Genomic DNA, 26,107 nt, shown 5'->3' with positions numbered 1-26,107 from the left:
CATTAGGAAGCATCAGAACCAACATTCAAATCCAGATCGGTCTCCAATTCAGAGCTCACACCCTTTCTCCAATATTGCATTGTAGATGTGAAATGAAGTCAACCAGCCTATTTGTAGATCCAGCTGTATCACAATTCCATTATTCCATCCTATGTAATATCCCAAAATATGAAAACATCCCCCTACCCTCTAGAAAAAAAATATTTCACAATGGTCATGCCAGCAGGAGTGAGGTGGAGCTTGGGGCTATTATCTAAATGCCTTGTTATAACATGCATAATTTTCAAGATAAACTGTTCAACCAATTCTTAAATCACTGACCCATATAAACACAATAATCCCATGTATTTAATACCAGTACAGCATGTCTTTTAAGACAAAGTGGTCAGAAGACTATAAACTTAAAAGTGGTTACCTCTGGGAAGAGAAGCACGAGAGAGGTATGAAGAGGGATGCTACTTTTTATTCTGCTTGTTTCTGTGTTATTGAGAACAAGCATATGTTATACATATGTCTTTTTTCTTTTCTTTGAGATGGATTTTTGGTCTGTTGCCGAGGCTGGAGTGCAGTGGCACGATCTCAGCTCACTGTAACCTCCACCTGCTGTGTTCAAGCGATTCTCCTGCTTCAGCCCCTCGAATAGCTGAGATTGCAGGCACGTGCCACCATGCCTGGGTAATTTTTGTATTTTTAGTAGAGATGGGGTTTTGCCCTGTTGCCCAGTTGGGTCTCAAACTCCTGACCTCAAGTGATCCCAAAGTGTTGGGATTACAAGCATGAGCCACAGTGCCTGGCCATGTTATACATATTTCTGTCAAGTTTTTCAACAAGCATTATTTTCATAAGTTCAAAACCATTTAAAATTGTTTTAAAAGACAACATTCAACTCAAAAATCCATAGGTGATTTTGAGATTGAAGATGGGCAAAAAAGGAAAAAAAAAAGATAATTGCTGATTTTAATCTGTAACCAGATAAAAACAAACAAACAAACGAAGACAGAAAGATTATTACCTTAAAAATGACAGTATCTGTAGTGAAACTGCTATGCTACGGGCCAATAATAACAAAAACTAACATTTATAAACATTTACTGTATATAAGCTTTGGTCTAGGATTCTTTCCATATACTAACGCATTTAATCCCCATGGCAACCCTTTGAGTTAGATACTTGTGGTAGACAGCCTTCAAAATGGCTCTCAATGATCCTCCCCTCCTGGTATTCACCTTCTTGTGTATGCCCTGTGAATAGGGCCAATATGTGCCACCAATAAGATATTGTAGAAATAATGGTATGTCAGCCTGAGCAATATAGTAAGACCCCACCTCTACAAAATATTAAAAATTAACTGGCATGGTGGCAATGGCACACATCTGTCGTCCCAGCTACTCAGGAGGCTAAGGCAGGAGGATCTCTTGAGCCCTCAGGAGGTTGAGGCTACAGTGAGCTGTGATTGTACCACTGCACTCCAGCCTGGGCTACAGAGTGAGACCTTGTCTCAAAAAAAGGAAAACAGAGAAATGATGGCATGTGACTTCCAAGACTAGGTTATAAAAGACACTGCTGCTGCTTCCTTCCTCTTTCTCTCTCTTGAGTTACCCATTCTGGGAGAAGCCAGCTGTCATTTTGTAAGGACCCACAGTTAGCCCTGTGGAGATGCCTGTGTGTAGGGGAACAGAGGAACAGCCATGTGTCTGGCCACCTTGGAAGCAGGTCCTCCAGCCCCAGTCAAGCCTTCAGATGACTGCAGCTCCTGCAACATCTTAACTGCAAACTCATGAGAGACCCTGAGTTTCTGAGCCAGAAACTCCAAGCTAAGCTGCTCCTGAATTCCTGACCTATAGAAGCTGTGAGAGACAATAAATTCTTATTTGTTGTTTTAGATTGCTATATTTTGGGTAAATTTGTTATGCAGCAGTAAATATTACTCAGTTGGGCATGGTGGCTTATGCCTATAATCCCAGCACTTTGGGAGGCCAAGGCAGGAGGATTGCTTGAGCCCAGGAATTTGAGAACAACCTGGGCAACATAGCGAGACCCTATCCTTATTTATTTTTAAAAACATTACAGCACTTATTATCACATCCATTTTACAGATGAGGAAACTTAGGCATAAAGGTGTCAAATAATTTGCCAATTACCAAGTAGTCAGAGCTGGGGCCAGGATCACAGCCTGAGTAAATCACTCCCAGAGGTGGTGCAATTAACCTCAGCACCAGCAGAAATGTGATACAGGGCAGAGTGCAAGAAACCAGGTCTCCTATTCTCTGTGCCTCTCATCAGTTCCTTTGATCCCCCAACCTGCACCCCCACGCCACCAAACCCTCCTTGGTGAGTTTCTAGCTTAGTTTCCAGGGAGCACATCATGTAAGTTTATGACCAGCATGTGACTTGGTAATTAATATCCATGACACTTGGCCTTTGAGCACAAGAAACAAGCCCAGTGCATTCATCTGTTCTCACACTGCTATAAAGACATACCTGAGACTGGCTAATTTATAAAGAAAAGAGGTTTAATTGGCTCACAGTTCCACAGTCTGTACAGGATGCATGGCTGGGGAGGCCTCAGGAAACTTACAATCATGGCAGAAGGCAAAGGGGAAGCAGGCACATCTGCATGGCAGGAGAAGGAGGAGGAGAGAGGCTTAGGGGAAGTGCTACACACTTTTAAACAAGAAGATCTCAGGAGAACTCTGTCACAAGACACCACTAGAAGGATGATGATAAACCATTAGAAACCACCCCCATGATCCAATCATCTCCCACCAGGCCCCACTTCCAACACTGGGGATTACAATTCAGTATGAGATTTGGATGGGAACACAGAGCCATCACCCAGGAACCACAAAGTGAAGCTACCTGGCATGGGCATTGATGCTGTGGTCTGAAGCATGCCATCTTATTCTTCAGTGATGAAGAAGGAACCCTGCTGTTTGTATAAGAAGGAAAATAATTTTTAAAGGTTACATTCTGTCCAATCAGCAAAGGATGCATTTAAATGTTCAAATCCTACTTCTGACTACATTGGGCTTGGCAGTAATACTCCAGCAATATTTGAAGATCCTGGACTTTTCCATGCTGTTTTGTTTTATTTTATTTTATTTTTATTATTGTTAGAGACAGGGTCTCACTCTGTCATCCAGGCTGGAGTGCAGTAGTGTGATCACAGCTCACTGCAACCTCCACCTCCTGGGTTCAAGAGATTCTCCTGCCTCAGCCTCCTGAGTAGCTCGGGTTACAGTTGTGTGCCATCGCACCCAGATAATTTTCGCATGTTTAGTAGAGACAGGGTTTTGCCATGTTGGCCAGGCTAGTCTCAAACTCCTGGCCTCAAACGATCCTCTTGCCTCAGCCTCCCAAAATGTTGATTACGGGCATGAGCCACCATACCCGGCCTATACTGTAATGTTTTAAATGAGTATTTTTATTCCTTCCTCCATCTTTTATTCTGAAAATTTTCAAACCAACAAAAATTTGCAAGAACAGTACAATAGACAACCACATTCCTTTTATGTAAGTTCACTAATTGTTCACATTTTACCAGACTTGCTTCTTCCTACTTCTCTCTGAGCCATATGAGAGTTAATTACAGACTTTTTGAAACTGCATTCCTGTATTCGTTTCTTGTGACTGCTGCAACAAATTATCATACATTTGTTGGCTAATTCACAAAGCTCCACCATAAATCACATTGCTAAATTATCTGATGTCACCCAAGGATCCAGGTAAATAAAGATGTCCATCTCAGGGGCTTAGAGATCACCCCCCAGGAGCTGGAGGCAAAGGGATAGACCTCTCTGTGAGTAAAGTAATTCTTCACTACATAGTAATGTTCACACTTTTTTTTTTAGATTAGGGTCTGAAATCTTCGGGAGACATCTTTTAGCCTACCTCAATCCCAGCTACTTTTCTAGGTACCTCCTGAGAACAAAGACATCCTCCTAAATGGTCGTCTTCTATTCCTTCAAACAGGAGATTTAAGAGACTGTTGTTTCCTGAAGAACTATCCAATTTCTATTCCTGTAAAATTGTTCCTCTTCTGGGAGTGGGAAGTCTCCTTCAGGAACCTGGTTCATTCTTCTGCTCCTGGAAGAAAAAAACTGAGGTCTCCCTGGCTCAGGTGCAGATCCAAGTCAGGGCCAGGTGCCAGGTGCCAGGTGCCAGGTGCAGCCAGCAGGAAGTGCTGGGTCTTCTCTCTAAGGTCACTGCACAGTCACCACTCGCCTCCATCACATTCCATCTTCCATACGTGGAACAACTGGGTTCCACCCATCCCTTTCCAGATCTGCAGGCTGGGACTGGGGGTGGGGAGGTGGCCTCCAGTAAGGAAGGGAAGAGGGAGGAATTGTCTCACAATAGAAATAGCCATCATTTCCTGACACTTCCTCTGTGCCACAGACTTAAAGATCATTTTTTAAAATTTGAGCATGTATTAGTAATATGTCTATTTAGTAAAAAAAAGGGGTAATCAGTAAAATTTTCCCTGCCCTTGTCCTGAGATGTATGATGCATTTACAAACATATACACATATATTCTTGGTTTTTTAACCCCAAAGGTGGCTTACCTGGCATCTTGTTTTGTTTTGTTTTGTTTTGTTTTGTTTTTGAGACAGTGTCTCACTCTGTCACCCATGCTGGAGTGCAGTGTCATGAGCATGGCTCACTGTAACCTTGAAATCCTGGGCTTAGCAATCCTCCTTCCTTAGACTCCTGAGTAGCCAGGACTGCAAGCATGTGCCACCATCCCTGGCTAATTTTTACTTTTTTATTGTTTGTAGAGATGGGTGTCTTGCTATGTTGCCCAGGCTGGTCTTAAACTCCTGGACTCAGACGAACCTCCTGCCTCAGCCTCCAAAAATTCTGGGGTTATAGGCATGAGCCACTATGTCTAGCTTCCACCTTGCTTTTTCACTTCATAATATACCTTCTATAGGCTGGGCGCAGTGGCTCACACCTGTAATCCCAGCACTTTGGGAGGCCGAGGCCAACGAATCACGAGGTCAGGAGATCGAGACCATGCTGGCTAACATGGTGAAACCCCGTCTCTACCAAAAATACAAAAAATTAGCCGGTGTGGTGGCGGGCGCCTGTAGTCCCAGCTACTCGGGAGGCTGAGGCAGGAGAATGGCGTGAACTCCGTAGGTGGAGCTTGCAGAGAGCCGAGATTGCGCCACTGCACTCCAGCCTGTGCGACAGAGACTCCATCTCAGAATATTAATAATAATAATAATAAACCTTCTATAAATATAATTTTCTATATATCTACATATAGAGGTAATTGCTGCACAGATGTGTCAAAATTTATTTAATCCATCTCCTATCGATGGAAATATAGGCTGCCTCTAGGCAATTGTTCTTGCCACAGCCCTGAGACCTAAGCTCTAGTCTTATATCCTCATTTTATGGATGAGAAAACAGGCTCAGAAAGGTTGTGGCATGTGGTCCAGCTCACACAGGAAATAATCGGAAACCAGGTTCTCATCCAGTGACCTTACCCTTAACCACAATGAAAATAGCTTTTATTTTGAGCCAGGAAATTACTTACCCACACACATAATTTTCTGTTTTAGAACAGTTTTAGATCTACAGAAAACCTTTGAGGATAAGATAGAGACTGCGGCCCGCAGTCCACCACGGTAGGGCCATGGGGAGTGCTCATAGGGAAGGTGTTCCTGGCATCCGAGGGTGCACGGAGGGAGCCGGGTGCTATAAGCTGTGCCCGGTCACTGCCGCCTCCCACCCTCAGCGCCGGGTGCTCCCAGCTCTGGGGGATAGCAGGTGGTAAGGGTATCTTCCTTATTCCTGCTCCCTCCTCCAAAGTGTCCTCATCCAACCCAGACGGAGCCAGCCGACATCTCAGCTAGCCTCTCAGCCAGACTCTCAGCCAGCCAGCCTCTCACTCAGCCAGGAAGACTGCCCGCTAGCCTCTCGACCAGCTTCTCAGCCAGCCCACCAGCATCTCAGCGGGCCAGCCAGCCTGCTGGCAAGCCTCCAAGACAGCCACTCGGCCAGCCTCCCAGCCTACCCCTCACCCAGCCTCCCAGTCAGCCACTTAGCCGGCCAGCCATTTAAGACTGAGCCCAATCTCTCTCCCATTGCAAAATTTCATTACTATGTTCCCTATACCTATCATGATGGTCCTGAAAAATCTGCCTTACCGTATTTTAACATGTGCCATTGAATAATTTTTTCTTCTACAGAGGTAGATGCTATTATTAGAATCACTTTATAGAGGAGGATAAAGAAGTACAGAGAGTACTGTCTCAGATTCCCTGTCTCAGGTGCCCGGGCTCATGTACAGTCTCAGGTGCACTGCCTCTCTCTTTAGCCAGCTGGTTCCCCAGCCAACGGTGCACCCTAAATCCCCAGGGAATGACAAAGTTGAGAGATTGGGTGAGGCTCAAATGCCATGGATGTTTTTAGTTATGAAGAGCTCAAGTCATCTCTAAACCTCCCAAAAGCCAGGGGTAGTCATTTCACAGAGCAACCAGTATGGTCCTTGAGGTCCCTCAGGCATGAACCTGGCTGTTGACTCTGGGTCTATTATAGAAATTCCAGATGAGAACTCCACTTTCAAGGGCAAGCACCAAGCCCTCACTGCCACTGGTAAGCCCTCTGTTCTTATCAGCAAGCTGTGAGATTATGCAGTTTTTGTGTTTGTTCTCCTTGTGGTAGATGATTTCAAATTACATGAGAATAATTTATGACCAATTTGGGTTGCATTATTCAATCAGGATTGCAGGGGTGGCAGAATCACCAGGTCAGCTCAGGCTTTGGGTATTTCTTTTTTCCTTTTCTTTCTTTTCTTTTTTTTTTTTAAGACATGGTCTTGCTCAGTCTCCCAGGCTGGAGTGCAGTGGCATGCTCATGGCCCACTGCAGCCTCCACCTCCTGGGCTCAAGCAATCCTGCTACCTCAGCCTCCCTAGTACCTGGGACTACAGGTGTGCACCACCATGACTGGCTAATGTTTGTTTTTAGTAGAGACAGGGTTTCACCATGTTCCCAGGCTGGTTTTGAACTCCTGGGCTCAAGCGATACACCTGCCTCGGCCTCCCAAAGTGCAGGTGTGAGCCACCATGCCAGGTGGGTATTTTCATTAAAAAAGGCAAAAGCCCTTGCTGATGGGAGCTGCATCAACTAAAACATGAATTCACCATAATTGGTGATTTTTGCCCCCTGAATCCTAGTCATAGTCCAAGTGAAATAGCAAGACACAAACAGGGGCATTGGCCAACAGCCTAGTTCTGAAGGAGATGGAGCAGATGTGGACACGTGGAGTCAGGCTTCCAGAAGTCATCAGGTGGATGTGTGAAGTCAGGCTTCCAAGGCAGCTCACGCGCATGGCTGTTGGCTGGGGGCCTCAGTTTCTCACCACACTGATATTCCCACAGGGTTGCTTCAGCGTCCTCACAACAGGATGGCTGACTTCCCCAAGAGAGCAGCTCAAGAGAGAGCAAGGAGAAAGACACAACATCTTTAATGATCTATGCTTGGAAGCTATATGTTGCCACTTTTGCAATATCCTACAGATCGCTTAGCTCCATCCAACATGGAAAGGGATCAGACACGGGCATCATTGCCAGATGATAATCCCTGATGGTCATCTTGGATGCTGGCCACCACAGTTACATTTGAGGTGAGTGTGGCAGGAGCAGAGCACATCTGGGGCAGATGTGGCAGGAATGAAGGATGGAAAAGGAGCTAAGGTTGTGAGTGTCTATTTAAGCCAAAGATGAGAGTTCTAGCTGGGAATAAACAGACATTACTAATATAAGAGTGTGACATTATCATGTTGGCATTTTATTTTTATTTTATTTTATTTTTGAGACAGGGTCTTGCTCTGTCATCCAGGCTGGAGTGCAGTGGCACAATCATAACTCACCGTAGCCTCAAACTCCTGGGCTCAAGTGATCCTCCATCTCAGCCTCCTGAGTAGCTGGGACTACAGGTGTGCACAACCATGCCCAGCAAAAAAAAAAAATTTTTAATCAGAGTCTTGCTCTGTTGCCCAGGCTGGAATGCAGTGGTGCAATCATCACTCACTGCAGTTTTGACCTCCCCAGGCTCATGTGATCCTCCCACCGCAGCCTCCCAAGCAGCTGAGACTACAGGTGTGTGCCACCATGACCAGCTAAGCTAATTTTTGTATATATATATATATACATATTTTGGTAGAGATGTGGTTTCACCATGCTACCCAGGCTGGTCTGGAACTCCTGGCCCTAATGCCTGCCTTGGCCTCCCAAAATGCTGGGATTACAAGCATGAGTCGCTGTGCCCAGCCTCATGTGCTCATTCTGAGGGAGATATTACAGGATTTGGTGATTGAATGAAGGAGGAGGAGGGAAAGGAAAATATTTCTGATGACAGTGAGGATTTTAACATGTTATGGTTTCAGAAGACACCATCACCCAGGGAGGCTTGAATATATCACCTGACTCAGTTACTGATATGCATCTCTCCTTCCTTAGCAAATGTGAAAACCTCAATTTTTTTTCTTGTTACCCTGCTCTTTCAGGCTGCTCTCCACCCCCAAATGTACTGCCAGCTGCTGTTTATTTAGGAAACGAAAGCTAATTTTAGTGTTAGCTTTAGCCAACCCTAATCTCGAAGCAAATCAGCTGCAAGTACAAGGGGCTTCAGAGTCAAACAGAAATACCTTTGGACTTACCTGCTGGACAAAGTTATCTCAATACTCCCCAGCACCGCTCTACTATGGATCTAAAAATAATGATTTTCCCTGCTGAATTTTGAAAATATCATGTTCACTGTATTTGCTTTATCCTCCACCTGGGATGCTCTTCCTTCAGTTCTCTGCTCAAATGTCATCGTATCAGTGACAGATGCTGAACTCCTTATGTAAACTAGCACCCCACTCCACCTTCTTGGGTGGAAAATCAACCACTTTGATTTTCTTCATAGCACCAATTGCCGTCTGACAAATGACATATTTACTTGGCAAGCAGTTTATTGTATCTCCTCACCCCTTTCATAGATTACAAGCCCCATGAGGGCAATGACCTGTGTATTTTGGTCACTGCTGTATCCCCAGAGGCCCCTGAAACAGTGGAATACCTCAATTTCTATTTGCATAATGTCATCCAGGGCTGGCCAAGGTGGAAGGCCTGGGATATGAAACCTTTAAACAAACTGCTGGTGGCAATGTTGCTTGAAATCAACTTTCTGAAAAGTAATTTGACTTGATACTCTCTTTAAAAAAAAATTAAGGTCAGGTGCAGTGGCTCATGCCTGTAATCCTAGCACTTTGGGAGGCCAAGGCAGGAGGATTACTTGAGCCCAGGAGTTCAAGACCAGCCTGGGCAACATAGTGGTACCCTGTCTCTACAATTTTTTTTTTAAATTAGCCCAATGTGGTGGCATTCGCCTGTGATCCCAGCTACTTAGGAAGCTGAGGCAGGTGGATCATTTGAACCTGGCAGGTCAAGGCTGCAGTGAGCCATGTTTGCACTATTGCACTCCAGCCTGGATGACAGAGAAAGACCCTGTCTCGATTTTAAAAATTTAATATTTTTAAACTTTTATTATCTTAAAAAAATTATATATATATGTATATATTTTGTGTGTGGAGACAGGGTCTCACTATGTTGCTCAGGCTGGCCTCAAACTCCTGGCCTCAAGTGATCCTCCCTCCTTGGCCTCCCAAAGTGCTGGGATTATAGGCATGAGCCACTGCACCTGGTCTTACTTTTAAATTTTTAATTAATTTATTTATTTTTAAGAGGTAGGGTTCTTGCTATGTTGCCCAGGCTGGATTTAGACTCCTGGGATCAAGAGATCTTTCTGCCTCGGCTTCCAGGGTAGCTGGGACTGTGGTGTGCAGCACTGCACCTGGCTGGTTCTATTTTTTTTTTTTTTTTTTTGAGACAGAGTCTGGCTCTGTTGCCCAGGCTGGAGAGCAGTGGCACAATCTAGGCTCACTGCAACCTCCATATCCCAGGCTCAAGCCATACTATCACCTTGGCCTTCCAAGTAGCTGGGACTACAGGTGCATGCCAGCTAATTTTTGTAATTTTTTTTTTTTTTTTTTTTGTAGAGATGGGGTTTAGCCATGTTGCCCAGGATCCTGGGCTCAAGCGATCTGCCCACCTGGGCCTCCCAAAGTGCTGGGATTGCAGGTATGAGCCACCACTCGCGGCCTTGATTCTCTTTCTATATGTTTATCCTAAGGATGGAATCAGCATTGTAGATAAATATTTAGAACAGAGGTTGGCAAACCTTTTCTGTAAATAGTCAGATTGTAAGTATTTGAGGCTTTGTGGGACATAAGGTTTCTGTTGCAACTACTCCACTTTGCCTTGAAAGCAACCATAGACGCTATGGGAATAAATGCACGTGGCTGTGTTCCAACAAAACAGGCAGCAAAGTGAATCTGGCCCACAAGCTGCAGTTTGCTGACTGAGATTTAGAACAAAATGCCGATTATAATGGCAAAGATTGTGAATGTCCTAATTATTCAACAACTGGGAGTTACTTAAATTATACAGCATCCACAAGATAAAAAAGAAGTTACAGCCATTAAAAATGGTATTTTCAAAGAAATTGTAATGAACTAGTGATGGGCTCAGAGCATAATTATGTCAATGAGAGTCAATTTAGCCATTAATTAAGACTCTGAACTCTGGAGTCAGAGAAATTGAAACTTCAAACTTGAGCACTTTCTAGCTGTTTGACCTTAAGCAAATTGTTTAACTTCTGGGAAACCTTTCCTTATTTAAGAAATGGAAACAGAAATATTATCTATCTTGTAAGGTTGTTGAAAGATAATGCATAGATCATATTGCTTAGCATACAATAAGTGCTTAACAAATCATTGTTTCCAAGTGGGGAATTAAAAATGGAATTATTTTTATAGGTTCGTGGATTTCAAAGCTGGAAGGAAACCTTGTAAGTCCCTCAAAATAGGTGCTCAGTAAATGTCTCCCAGTCTGTTTCTAAAAGGCAAGGGAAGGACTTTGATTGGTTCATTGAGTGTCACATGACCACACTCTGGCCCAATCATTGTGTCAGCAAGTTGAAGTACTATGGTTCCTCTCAGACTTGCTCTTCGACTTGTGCCTGCAACAGGCAGGGCAGCAGTACAAACTGGCCATGGAGCACAAGATTTCTTTTCGAGACAGGGTTTTGCCCTGTGGCCCAGGTTGGAGTGTAGTGGCACAGATTACAGTTCACAGTAATCTTGAACTCCTGGGCTCAAGGGATCCTCCCACCTCAGCCTCCTGAGTAGCTGAGATTACAGGTGCCTGCGCCCATGCCCTGCTCAATGTGTCTTTTCTATAAGCACCCACGTGCTTATAGACAATGACGGTGATGGCAGGTGAGTCCCTGCCTTGGTTAGTTTACCAGTCCCTGTCTGGTGGTCTTTTGGGAACTTTCCAGACTTTGGCACATAGCATGGTAGAGCATTTCCAAAATATATATCCTGGATCGCACTTCTTATCACGCTTTGTGCTCTGGGGTGCTGAGTGTCTGTTTCTTTCTGTCTTTGTTCCTTTCTTTCTTTCGTTCATTCATACACACACACACACACACACACACACACACACACACACACACACACACACAGGGCCTTTCTCTGTCACCTAGGCTGCAGTGCAGTGGTGCAATCACAGCTCACTGCAGCCTTGACCTCCTGGGCTCAAGCGGTCCTCCCACCTCGGCCTCCTGAGCAGCTGGGAGGCCTCCTGAGTAGCAGGGACTACAGGTGCACACCACCATGCCTGACTAATTTTTGTATTTTTTGTAGAGATAGTGTTTCATCATGTTGCCTAGGCTGGTCTCAAACTCCTGGGCTCAAGTGATCCACCTTCCAAACTGTTGGCATTACAGGGGTGAGCCACCACACCGGGCCCTGAGTGTTATGCTTACTGTTTTGACTCTTTTGAGCCCTTATAGTACAGTCCTGAGTTGCTCAACGATGAAGATCTGTTTCAAGACATGTGTCATTAGGCAAGGTCATCTCTGTGTGAACATCATAGCGTGTACTCACATAAACCTAGATGGTATAGCCTTCTACACACCTAGGCTATAGGTATAATGGTATAGCCTGTTGCTCCTGGGGTACAAACCTGTACAGCACGTTCCTGTACTGAAGATTTTAGGCAATTGTAAAACAACGGGAAGTATTTGTATATCTCAACATAGAGAAGTTACGGTAAAAATACAGCATTATAATCTTATGGGACCATCATTGTGTACGCAGCCTGTTGTTGGTGGAAACATTGTCGCAGTGCATGACTGTATACATGATGCAGTGATTACAGTGGTAGGGATTGAGTATCCTGGTATAAGGGGCTGTGCTTTTGAAAATCTGTTTTTTTCTCTCTTGCTTTCTTTTTTTTTTTTCTTTTGAGACAAGGTCTCACTCTGTTGCCCAGGCTGGAGTGCAGTGGAGTGATCTCAGCTCAGTGCAACCTCTGTCTTTTAGGCTCAAGCCGTCCTCCCACATCAGCCTCCCAAACAGTTGGGACTACTGGCGCATGCTACCATGCCCAGCTAAATTTTTTTTTTTTTTTTTTGGTAGAGACTGGGTCTCACTACATTGCCCAGGCTTGTCTTGAACTCCTGAGCTCAAGAGATCCGCCCACCTCAGCCTCTCAAAGTGCTGGGATTACAGGCATGAGCCACCGTGCCTGGCCTCTCTTGCTTTTTTCTCTCCCTCTTCTTCCATAAAACCCAATTCCCTGCCTTATAATCAATCTCCCCGTTTACTTTTCTCTCTCCCTCTTCCCTCTACAACTTTCTCCAGTTCCAACTGCCTTGCTAACCTGATGATTTCCATTCACTGGTTCTTGGTGCTCTGATATCTTTGCTTTGTTTGTAATTTTACTGTCAGTGCATTTAAAGTCTAATTCAACGTTCAAAGTTCCCTGTAACCCACCCCAAACCGATCTACGACATCCTTATCTGTGCATCAACAATCTTGTTGGGTGCTGACAGAAAATACAGATTTCCTGGGCCCCACAGTAGGCCTATGGACACAGATCTCTGGGAGTGGGGTTTTTGGTAAAAATTATTCTAACAAAATTCTTATGGGGATCTGATGAACAGACAGCTTGGGGATCTCTTGTCACGGCTGAATTTATTACACTCGTAAATTTACAGTTATTATATGTGAATGGATGTCCATCTTCTCTACCAAATCCTGAGTTTATGGACATAAGACTGTGTCCAACACATATTATTTGTTCAATATGTATTTATAGAAGAAATGAAAAATACCCCAAACAAGCATCACATGGTGATGAGGTTCCCATAATCCACCAGCAGGTGGTGGAAGAGGCTAGGCCACAGTCAATAACTGGACCTGTGTTCTCATTCCCCCTAAGATTGACAGCAGGGGTGGGTTTACATTTTTTTTAAAAGTCGTTTTTAATGAACAATCCCATAAGTTTATGGAATGATTTCTGTTTGCAGCACATGAAAAACCTTCTTGAAGATCCCTTTAAAAGTCATTAAAAATGGAAACATTAAATGGATTTCCCTAGAAGAGGAATGACTTTTCCTCCAACAATTCTATCAATTAAGCATTTTCAAAGAGTACTTGATATTTTCCAAATAAATATATGGTGCTACTTACTGCACCTTCCTGGGCCTTGGTTCTTGCTAGTTCCCACAGGCTCCTTCCAGGTATGAGGGGGCTCCTGGGGGAGGGGTCATAGAGTTGTTTCTTGATCCAGATGCTGGTTTTACAGGTGATAAATTGTGAAAACTTAGCAAGCTGTTTGCTTACAGGTGCATTTTTCTGTGTGTATGTTATACGTCAAAAAGGTTGGAAAAAAAAAAAAAGGCTGAGCATGGTGGCTCATGCCTGTAATTCCAGCACTTTGGGAGGCCAAGGTGGGAAGATGAACTGAACCCAGGAGTTCAAGACCAGCCTGGGAAACAAAGTGAGACCCTGTTTCTACAAAAAAAAAAAAAAAAGAAAGAAAAAGTTAGCTGGGCATGGTAGCATGCACCTGTAGGCCCAGCTACTCAGGTGGCTGAGCTGCGAGAATTGCTTGAGCCCAGGAGTTTGAGGCTGCAGTGAGCCGTGATTGTGCCACTGCACTCCAGACTGGGCAACAGAGCAAGACTCTGTCTCAAAAAAAAGAAAACGTTAATAAAAAGAAGCAAAATCAATAAAGACCCAATATTAGTTTCCTATCACTACCACAACAAATTGTCACAAATTTAGTGGCTGCAAACAACATAAATTTATGATGTAGCCACTCTGGAAAACAGTACAGAGGGTCTTCAAAAAATTACCATATGCCCCAGCAATCCTCCTTCTGGGTATATACCTAAAATATTTGAAAAAGCATCTGTGCAGATATCTGTACTCCCATGTTCATTGCAGCATTATTCACAATAACCAGAAGTAGAAGCACCTAAATATCTATCAGCGGATGAGTGGATAAACAAAATGTGGTATATACACATAATGGAATATTATTCAGCCTTAAAAAAGGAAATCTTATCATATGCTGCAACATGGATGAACTTTGAGGAAATATGCTAAATGAAATAAACCAGTCACAGAAGGACAAATACTGCATGACTCCATTTATATGAGGTATCCAAATTAATCAACCTTTTTTTTTTTTTTTTTTTTAGATAGGGTCTCACGCTGTTGCCAGGCTGGAGTGCAGTGGTGTCGTCATAGCTCACTCCTGGGCTCAGTGGGCTCAAGTGATCCTTCTGCCTCAGCCTCCAGAGTAGTTGGGACTACAGGCACACAGCACTGCACCCAGCTAATTTTTTAATTTTTGTAGAGATGGGAGCTCACTATGTTGCCCAGGCTGGTATCAAATTCCTGGGCTCAAGTGATGCTCTTCTCTTGGCCTCCCAAAGCATTGGGATTACAAACATGAGCCACCATGCCTGGCTGTCAAACTCTTATAAACAGAAAGTAAAACAATGATTATCAGGAGGCGTGAAGGAGAGGAAAACAGGGCATTGTTGTGGATATAGTCTCGTTTTTGCAAGATGAAAAACTTCTAGAGGCTCATTGCAGAACAATGTGCCTATAGTTAACACAACTGTTCTGTACACTTAAAAAGAGTTAAGATGGTATTTTTTTTTACCAGAATAAAAAAACCTCACAAATGTATTATCTTATATATCTATAGGTCAGAAGTGCAAAATTTGTCTCACTGGACTAGAATCAAGGTGTGCAAAGGGTTGCATTTCTTTCTGGATGTTACAAGGGAGATTCCCTTTCCTGCTTATTTGAGTTGTGGGCAGAATTCTGCCCTTTGCAGCTATAGGGATGGAGCCCTGGTTTTCCGTCCGGCCATCAGCCAAGGGCTGTTGTCATCTTCTAGAAACTTCCACATACTGTGTTCCCCTCCTCCATATTCTGAGCCAGCAGTGACTGGAGGCGTCTTTTGCTTATAGCATTTCTCTGACCCACTTTTCTGCCTCTCCTTTCTATTGATAAGGACTTGTGTTATTAGATTTGGTCCAATTGGGTAATCTAGGATAATCTCCCACTTTGAGATCCATAATTTTTTTTGAGACAGGGTCTCGCTCTGTTGCCCAGGCTGGAGTGCAGTGGCACGATCTCAGCTCTCTGCAACCTCTGCTTCCCTGGTTCAAGCAATTCTTGTGCCTCAGCTCCTGAGAAGCTGGGATTACAGGCACCCACCACGACACCCAGCTAGTTTTTGTATTTTTAGTAGAGATAGGGTTTCACCATGTTGGCCAGGCTGGTCTTGAACTCCTGGCCTCAAGTGATCTGCCCACCTCGGCCTCCCAAAATGCTGGTATTACAGGTGTGAGCATTGCACCTGGCCTGAGATCCATAACTTAATCAAATGGGCAAAGTCTCTTTTGCCATGTAAGGTAACATATTCTTAGAAATTTGGGAGAATTAGAACGTGTCCATCTTTGGGATGTGTAGTTCTACCACACCTCCTCCCACCCTCACCTGATCATTTTCATTCAGCTCCACATGATGACAGGAGAGAGGATTCAATCTGGCAAAAGATGCGAATATTGACTTTCATATGTGTATAAGGACTCACATTTATTGAGTATTTATTATGTGCCAGACACATTTTAAGCACGTCACAGGCCTCATCTTATATAATTCTCCTAGAAGTAAATGTTATTATTTTGTAACCAAGTAATATGGTTTGGCTGTGTCCCCACCCAAATCTCATTTTGAATTGTAACTCTCACAATTCCCACATGTCGTGGGAAGAACCTGGTGGGAGGTAATTGAATCACGGGGGGCGAGTCTTTCCCATGCTGTTCTCACCATAGTGAATAAGTCTCACAAGATCTAATGGTTTTAAACGGCAGTTTCCCTGCACAAGCTCTCTCTTTTTGCCTGCTGCCATCCATGTAAGACGTGACTTGTTCCTCCTTGCGTCACACCATGATGGTGAGGCCTCCCCAGCTGCGTGGAACTGTAAGTTCATTAAACCCTTTTTCCTGTATAAATTACCCAGTCTCAGGTATGTCTTTATTTGCACCATGAAAACAGACTAATACACCAAGGAAACTGAAGCTTAGAGTGGTTAATAAATCTCTTTAATGTCACACTGCTACTATTAATAGATTTGTTGTAAACTTGGGATTTATATTCATACAGTCTCATCCTTAATCAATTAGCTATGCTGTCTCTTTAATAAATATAATAATATCGATGACAAAATGTTATTAGAAGGTTGCACTTGTATATTAAAAAAACTCAGTAAGCAGTAATTTCAAGAAATTGGAGATAGCTAGGGATGATGGCTCATGACTGCGATTCCCAGCACTTTGGGAGGCTAAGGCCAGAGGATCACTTGAAGCCAGAAGTTTGAGGCCAGCTTGAGCAACATAGCTGTCTCTACAACAACTACAACAAAAGTTAGCTGGGCATAGTAATGCATGCCTATAGTCCTAGCTAGCCGTGAGGCTGAGGTAGCAGGATTGCTTGAGCCCAGGAGGTTGAGGCTTCGGTAAGCCGAGATCATGCCACTGCACTCCAGCCTGGGCAACAGAGCAAGATTCTGTCTCTAAAAAAATAAAAAATTGCAGAATTAAACATATTTCCATATTTATTTACAGTCAAATACATTGTAACTCAAAGAGAAAGTGGTTATATGTTGAAGGGCACAAAGCAATTTGACGTCCTAGATAGAAACTTAGTGTCTTCAGACTAGAAGGGTCTTGAAATGGTAATTTTTTTCTCTCTTTGCATTTGGGTAGGACCTCATATAACCCAACCTAGTGAGAAAATCTGGCTTTGGGGAAAGTGGTGTGTTTTGGTGACAGGAACATAGTTTCAACTTGGTTTTCCTTTTTAGAATTATTTTTACTTGTTTTAGAAATAGTGATGGGGTCTCACTATGTTGCCCAGGCTGGTCTTGAACTCCTGAGCTGTAGGGATCCTCCTGCCTTGGCCTCCCAAAGCGTTGGGATTACAGATGTGAGCCACTGCACCCGGCTTCACCTTAGTTTTCTAATTACACATGAAAGGAGTTGTTCTTTTCATTTTCTCTTGTATTCACAAGACTGTGCTGAAGCAGCCAGCTGCCCTTATTGCAGCCTGAATCCTGATTTTTACCCTGTGTCCAGCCCTCCCTGTGTGACTGCAGGGCAAATTCTGATTGGTCTCAGCCTGTTATGGTGGTGCCTGGGCTTAGCAAGGGGTGTTAGGTTCTGGTCAATGAGGCAGAGTCTACTGGGCAGCTTCTGGAAATGTTTTTTTAGTCTTAAAAAAGAGACACACAAAGAAGAAACAGCTCCTGCTCTCCATCCCTGCCTGACCACAGTGTTTGGAAGTGCCCATATCAGGTCAATCAGAGGAGGAGACCCCAAAAATGGCCAAGTATGAAGATGGAAGGGCTTGACTTGGTTAAGCCACTCAACCAATTGGCCCTGGATTCTCTCTGCTGCCTGAATTCTTTTTTTTTTTTTTTTTTTTTTTTTTTTCTAAATTTTAGACAAGGTCTCACTCTGTCACCCAGGCTGGAGTGCAGTGGTGTGATCTCAGCTCACTGCAGCCTTGAACTCCTGGGCTGAAGCAATCCTCCCACCTCAGACTCTCAAGTAGCTGGGACCACAGGCATGTGCCAGCACACCTGGCTAATTTTTGTATTTTTTTGTAGAGATGGGGTCTTGCCATGTTGCCCAGGCTGGTCTCGAGCTCCAGAGTTCAAGCAATCCACCCGCCTCAGCTTCCCAAAGTGCTGGGATTACAGGCATGAGCCACTGAGCCAGACCTTTCCTTTCCTTTTCTTTTTCTTCTCTTCTTCTTCTTTTTTTTTTTTCTTGAGATGGAGTCTCACTCTGTTGCCGAGGCTGGAGTGTGGTGATGTAATCTTGGCTCACTGCAACCTCCGCCTCCTGGATTCAAGTGATTCTCCTGCCTCAGCTTTCCAAGTAGCTGGGATTACAGGTATGCACCACCACACCTGGCTAATTTTTTTGTATTTTTCATAGAGACGAGGTTTTACCATGTTGGCTGGGAGTTCAGACCTCCCAAAGTGCTAGGATTATTACAGGCGTGAGCCACTGAGCCCACAACCTTTCCTTTTCTTTTTTGAGACAGGGTCTCACTACATTCCCCTGGCTGGTCTCAAACTCCTGGGCTCAAATGATCCAATCCTCCTGACTCAGTCTCCTGAGTAGCTGGGATTTCAGGTGCGCACCACTGCAGCTGGCTCTGGATTCTTACACTTAGGCCATTTTTGGCTGGAGTTTCTCTTATTAATACTTGCAGATGGCAGCACCCCAACTGAATCACACAACACTAGTTTCTCTCTGTTTTATTCATGGGTTATACTTTGTCTCAAAACCAGAAATGGCATTAAGTCCTCAGTTTTCTGTAATGTCCTTTTTCTGATCCTGGATCCCATCCAGAAACATGACATTGTACTTAGTCCTAATATCTCCTTAGGCTCCTCTTCATGGTGACAGTCGCTCAGACTTCCCTTGTTCTTGGCCTTTTTGACAGTTTTGAGGAGTGCTGGACGGTTATTTTGTAGAATGTTCCTGAATTTGGTTTTGTCTTATGTCTTTATTATCATTAGGCAGAGGTTATGGGGTTTTGGGAGGAAGACCTCAGAGGTAAAGTGCCTCTCTCATCGCATGTCGAGGGTGCCTACCATCAACGTGACGGGTCACTGTTAATGTGGACCTTCATCACCTGGCTGAGGCTGGGCTTACCAGGTTTCTCCACTGTACGCTCACTCTGCCTCCACCCCTTTCCATACTGCATGCACTCTTTGGAAGGAAGACACCGTGTGCTGCCTACACTTAAGGAATGAGGCATTATGTTCCCCCAACTCTTGAGGACAAAGTGTCTGCATGAATTATTTGGAATATTCTTCCACATGGGTGATTCGCCTTCTGCCATGATTGGAAGCTTCCCGAGGCTCTCACCAGGAGCAGATGCCAGTGCCATGCTTCCTGTACAGCCTGCAGAACCATGAGCTAGTTTTCCTTATTTGTTTATGAAATCATTTATTTAAACCGAGCTTGGTGGCTCATGCCTCTAATCCCAGCACATCGGGAGGCTGAGGCGAGAGGACTGCTTGAGTCCAGGAGTTTCAGGCTGCAGTGAGCTGTGATTGCACCACTGCACTCCAGCCTGGGTGATAAAGCAAGACCCTGTGTCAAAAATAAAAGTAAAAATAAGATAAAAATAGATCAATCATTTATTTGTATCAGTATGGACTCAGGAGTTCTTTTGAGTTCTAATCTAATATAACTTTATGTTTTGGGGGGCTTTTTGTTGCTCAGATTATTCTAGTTTTGGTTACTGAGACCCTTTTAGTTGGCATCTGTCTCCCTTTGGCATACCCCACCATTGTGGGTTGTGTGTGTGTGTGTGTGTGTGTGCGCGTGCGTGCATTTCCTTCCTTTCTGGCACTACAAGATTCTTCAGGCTTGTCTTTTATATTTCCTGGTTGATATACTTTGGATGTGTGTCCCCTTTACATCTTATGTTGAAATGTGACCTCCAGTGTTGGAGGTGGGGCCTGTTGGGGAGGTGGGAAGTGACTGGATCACAAGGGCGGATCCCTCGTAAATGGCTTAGTGCTATCCCCTTGGTGATGAGTGAGTTCTCATTCAGTTCACATGAGAGCTCGTTGTTTAAAGGGATCCTGGCTCTTCCCTCTGTCTCTTGCTTCTGTTCTCACAATGTGATACATCAGCTCCCCCTTTGCCTTCTGCCGTGACTGGAAGCTTCCCGAGGTCCTCACCAGAAGCACATGCAGATGCCATGCTTCCTGTACAGCCTGCAGAATCATGAGCCAATTAAGCCTCTTTTCTTTATAAATCACCCAACCTCGGGTACTTTTTTACAGCAATGCAGAAATGGACTAACACACTGGCCCTGTCCTAGAATCAGCTGCCTCTCCAAAGAGCTCTGTGCTGGTTAATACTAAATGCTAACTTGATTGGACTGAAGGATGCAAAGTATTCATCCTGGGTGTGTCTGTGAGAGTATTGCCAAAGGAGCTTAACATTTGAGTCGGTGGGCTGGGAAAGGCAGACCCACCCTTAATCTGGGTGGGTACCATCTAATCAGCTGCCAGTGTGGCCACGACATAAAGCAGGCAAAAAAACCATGAAAAGGCTAGACTGGTCTAGCCTTCCAGCCTACATCTTTCTTCCATGCTGGATGCTTCCTGCCCTCAAACATCAAACTCCAGGTTCTTCAGTTTTGGAACTTGGACTGGCTCTCCTTGCTCCTCAGCTTGCAGATGACCTACTGTGGGACCTTGTGATTATGTGAGCAAATACTTAATAAACTCCATACATGTGTATGTATATATATATATACCATCTGAATGACAGTACACTAAACAGGACTTTGTACTAATGTCTCTAACTCAAATCCGTTTCCACGTGGATCATTTTAGTCATCTCTACTTGCTTATCTGTAATCTCCCACCCCAACAATGAAAACATTAGCTTCCATCATTGCTAATCTAGGTGAGTACCATCTAATCAGCTGCCAGCATGGCCAGGATGCTTCCACCATTGAATGTGTCCCCCAAAGTTCATGTGTTGGCAACTTGATCCTCAACATGGTGGTGTTGGGAGGTGGGGCCTAATGGGAGGTGTTTGGGTCATGGGGGCCCTGCCCTCATGATAGAGTAATGATAGAATGGATTCCTTATAAAATAATAAATTGGGCTCTCTTTTGGCTGTCTGTTACCTTCTCCTTGCTCATCTGCTATGAGATGGTGCACAAGAAGGCTCTCGCCAGATGCTGGTCTTGTGATCTTGGACTTCCCAGCCTCCAGAACTGTGAGTCAATACGTTTCTGTTCATTATAAATTACCCAGCCTGTGGTATTCTGTTATAGCAGCACAAAATGGACTAAGACACCTTGTCAAACTCTCTTTTTTCCTGTGCTACACTGTCCTGCACCTTCCAGATAATGGCTGCTCCATCAGCCTGGTTCTTGGAATGAGGATGACATAAGGTAGAGTCCCAGCTGACCAACAGTGGAGATGTATCATGAGCAAGAAATAAACCTTTCTTATTTTCAGCCACTAAGCTTTGAAATATTCATTACAGCAGCCTAACCTAGCTCATCCTGACTGACAGAATTTATAACAGTGAAAGATGGAAGTAATGCAATTATCTACCAAGAAGGGACTGATATAACTTGGATATTTGTCCCTGACAAGTCTCATGTTGAAATTTGATGCCCAATGTTGGAGGTGGGACCTAGTGGGAGGCATTTGGGTCATGGGGGTGGATCCTTTATGAATGGTTTGATGCCCTCCCTTTGATAATAAGTGAGTGGTCCCTCCATTAGTTCATGTGAGAGCTGGTTGTTTAAGAGAGCATGGCACCCCTCCTATTCTCTCCTGCTCCCTCTCTTGCCATGTGACATGCCTGCTCCTCCTTCACCTTCCACCATGAGTAAATGCATCCTGCAGTCCTGACCAGAAGCAGATGTTGGTGTCAAGCTTCGTGTTCAGTCTGTAGAACTGTGAGCCAAATAAACCTCTTTTCTCTATAAGTTACCTAGATTCAGATATTCCTTTACAGCAATGCAAAACGGACTAATACAAGGACAAAGTTAATAAATTATGGTACATTTCAGCAATGGTTTACTTGTACAGCCCTTGCAAAAAAAAAAAAAGTCAGTTTCTGTTACTGACATGAAAAACTGTCCGTACTGTCAAGTGAAGAAAAGAAGCAAGTTATGGAACAGTTTATTCAGTATGATCACATTGTTGTAAAACAAATAATGTACGTACATTTTTTAGTATATGGATAGAAAAAAAGCACTGGAGGAATACACACCAAATTGTCTACAGAAATGATCTTTGCATTTTAGAGTTTTGAGTTGTTTGAATTTTTACAAGTTCTGAGTCAAGATTCTCTCTGCTCTGGGCTGGATGTGTTTCATTTGTCAGTTGGCAGCTAGACTAGATTATGCAAATTGGATTTCCCTTGGATGGATTTGACAGTCTACAAGGTTAAGTCTGGAGGCAAACATGTGGACATGTTAAGTGGGGACAGGCTAATAAATAAGGCAATTTGAGCAACATTCCTGGAATTTTTTCCAAGCCTATCAAATGCCCAGAATGTAATCGGTACTTATCTTGATTCCCAGCATAAACAATGGTGATTACAAACCGATGAAGACCTTAGATGGTTTCCGAGCCTCTGTTTGTTCCTTATGACTCTCGAATAATTACTTTCAGAGAGCAGTTTCAGCAATGATGAGGATTGGGTTTGGGGTGGGGGCTTTGTCTCATTCATCTTTGAATTTTCAGTACCTGGCTCTGGCTTGGCACGGGGTAGGTGTTCAATTAATGTCATTCTGAAATGTCTGTTTTCAATAATGATTACTAGTTTCCAATATATTTATTTTGTTTTTTGAATGATCATACAGTAAGATTGACTTTTTGTGGTATGCAGAATTTTTTTTTTTTTTTTTTTGAGTACAAGGTCTCACTATGTCACCCAGGCTGGAGTGCAGTGGTGTGATCACAACTCACTGCAGCCTCAACACAACTGGCTCAAATGTTCCTCCACCTCAGCTTCCCAAGTACCTGGGACCACAGGTGTGCACCATCACACCTAGCTAATTTTTAAATTTTTACTTTTGTGGTGATGGGGTCTCCCTATGTTACCCAGGCTGGTCTTGAACTCCGTGGCTCAAGCAATCCTTGTGTCTCAGGCTCCCAAAGTGTTGGGATTACAGGCATGAGCCACCAGGCCCAGACTGGTGTGCAGATCTGTGAATTTTAAGACATGTATAGATTTCTGAAACCACCACCATCATCAGAATACAAAACAGTTGTGTCGTCCCCACAACTCCATCATGCTTTCTCTTTATCATTACATTCCCCCCACCCCTCACCCCTGGCAAACACTCACAGGCTCTGTGTCATGGCTTTGTCTTTTCAAGAATGTCCTATAGATATGATCATGTGGCAGATGAACTTTTGAGAGCAGCTTCTATTACTCAGTTAGTTTCTTTTTATTGCTGAGGAGTATTCCTCAACATTTTTTTTTCTTTCACCTTTCATTTCACATTCAATGAGTACATGTGTGAGTTTGTTACATGGGTAAATTTTATGTCATGGGAGTTTGGTGTACAGATTATTTCACCACCAAGCTAGTAAGCATAGTACCCGGAAGGTAGTTTTTCAGTCATCTCCCCCACCTTCCACCCTCAATAGGTCCCAGTGTGTATCGTTCCCTTCTTTGTGTCCATGCAAACTTTGATATTTAGCTCCCATTTATAAGTGAGAACATGTGGTATTTGGTTTTCTGTTCCTGTATTAATTTGCTTAGGATAATGTCCTCCAGCTCCAACCACGCTGCTGCAAAGGATATGATCTCATTCCTTTTTATGACTGCATAGTCCATGGTCCTCAACAACATTTTTTGAGCACCTACTATGTGCCAGGCACCATGCTTGGTATTGGGGATATAACATATAAAGGGAAGACGTGGTCTCTATTGGCTTGGAGCTTTCACACATTGATGGGAGATTCATAAATCTTTGGGGTCCTAAGGGAGTCTGGTTCATCTCATCCTTAGCTTCTCAACATATGGACTATAGACCAAGAGCACTGGCATTCCTTGAGAGCTTGTTAGAAATGCAGAATCTCAGGCCCTAAACCCAGGCATATTGAATCACGGTCTGTACAAGGTCTCTGTGCACATTCAAATTTGAGAAGTGTCGGTCTTACTATGCCCTCCACAGAGTGCAGAACTTCCTACTTCCCTGCCCAATACCCATTCAGTCTTATTATTTTTTTTCTTTTTTGAGACAGAGTCTTGCTCTGTCACCCAGGCTGGAGTGCAGTGGCACAAGCTCAGCTAATTGCAACCTCTGCCTCCTGGGCTCAAACGATCCTTTCACCTCAGCCTCCTGAGTAGCTGGGACTACAGGTGTGCACCACCATGCCCAGCTAATTTTTGTATTTTTTTTGTAGAGACGGGGTTTTGTTATGTTGCCCAGGCTGGTCTTGAACTCCTGGGCTCGAACAATCTGCTGGCCTCAGCCTCCCAAAGTCCTGGGATTACAGGTGTGACCCACCGTGCCCAGTCAAGTGTTTTACAATTTTTAATTAATTAATTTAGAGATAGGGTCTTGCTCTGTTGCCCAGGCTGGAGTATAGCGGCGTGATCACTACTCACTGCAGCCTCAAATTCCCAGGCTCAAGCGATCCTCCTACTTCAGCCTCCCGAGTAGCTAGGACCACATGTGTGCACCACCACTTCTGGTTAATTTTTTATTGATTTTTTTATTTTTTTGATACAGAGTCTTGCTCTGTCACCCAGGCTGGAGTGCAGTGGCATGATCTTGGCTCACTGCAACCCCCACCTCCCGTGTTCAAGCAATTCTCCTGCCTCAGCCTCCTGAGTAGCTGGGACTACAGGCGTGTGCCACCATGCCCGGCTAATTTTTTGTATTTTTAGTAGAGATAGGGTTTCACCATGTTAGCCAGGACGTTCTCGATCTCCTGACCTCGTGATCCACCCACCTAGGCCTCTCAAAATGCTGGGATTACAGGCATGAGCCATCGTGCGCAGTCTAATTTTTTTTTTTTTTTTTTTTTTTTTTGTAGAGACAGGGTTTCACTGTGTTGCCCAGGCTTGGCCATTCAGTCTTTGCAAGAATGCCTTCGGTAATGGAGCTCTTATTCTTGGCAGCCAGCCCTTTCCAGCGATGGGCAGCTCTAATTGTTTGCAGTTTTTCTTAGTCTAAATGAAAATTTGCTTCTGTATAAATTCCACAGTACAGCTCTAGTTCTGACTTTTGGGTCAAGCCAAAATACACCTACTTCTTCTTTGCCCTAATATTTCTCTGGTTGTTTACAGACTTGCTGCCCTTTTCTCCAGGCTGCACATTCCCCTCACCGCCACTGATGCTATAATCATTCTTTATATTCATTTATTCACCCACTTTGTGTGTGTGTGTGTGTGTGTGTGTGTGTGTATTTTTTGAGATGAAGTATTGCTCTGTCACCCAGGCTGGAATGCAGTGGCACAATCCCAGCTCACTGCAACCTCTGCCTCCTGGATTCAAGCAATTCTCCTGCCTCAGCCTCCCAAGTAGCTGGGATTACAGGCAACCGCCACCATGCCCAGCTTTTTTTTTTTTTTTTTTTTTTTTTGTATTTTTAGTAGAGATGGGGTTTCACCATGTTGGCCAGGCTGGTCTTGAACTCCTGACCTCAAGTGATGCGCCTGCCTTGGCCTCCCAAAGTGCTGGTATTACAGGTGTGAGCCACCACATCTGGCCCCACTTAGTATATTTTTATTGGAACCTACTACATCCAGACATTGAACTTGACCAACGTCAAAAAAAATTGACATAGAGTTAAAATGGCTTAATTGGATGTTATAGTTCTGAGTATTTCTTATAAGATATTAATATAAATGATGGAAAGAAAACTTTTAGATGAAACATTTAATATGGATATTGAGGCATACTTAGAAAGATATATTTGGTCTTTGTCCCTGGTGTCTGGCACATTGCTCCTAATACCTTTGGAATTTCTGGACTGATAAGGGTGTTTTTTTTTTTTTTTTTTTTTTTTTGAGATGGAGTCTCGCTCTGTCGCCCAGGCTGGAGTGCAGTGGCATGATCATAGCTTACTGCAGCCTCAAGCTCCTGG

At 43.9% G+C, this 26,107-nt stretch overlaps 1 long non-coding RNA gene across 1 annotated transcript in view; it reads left to right on the top strand.

The window, feature by feature from the left end:
• The window catches only part of LOC105371114 (uncharacterized), a 39,276-nt gene that overhangs the window by 4,665 nt on the left and 8,504 nt on the right, over positions 1–26,107 (top strand). Inside the window, exon 2 of the long non-coding RNA NR_188657.1 lies at positions 21,191–21,257. This is a non-coding gene — a long non-coding RNA (uncharacterized LOC105371114). The remainder of the gene's footprint in view (positions 1–21,190; positions 21,258–26,107) is intronic.

The sequence above is a fragment of the Homo sapiens genome, chromosome 16, assembly GCF_000001405.40.
Source record: "Homo sapiens chromosome 16, GRCh38.p14 Primary Assembly".
Taxonomy (NCBI): domain Eukaryota; kingdom Metazoa; phylum Chordata; class Mammalia; order Primates; family Hominidae; genus Homo; species Homo sapiens.
Note: the sequence above shows the minus strand (reverse complement) of the source record. Positions and strands in the feature narration are given on the sequence as shown.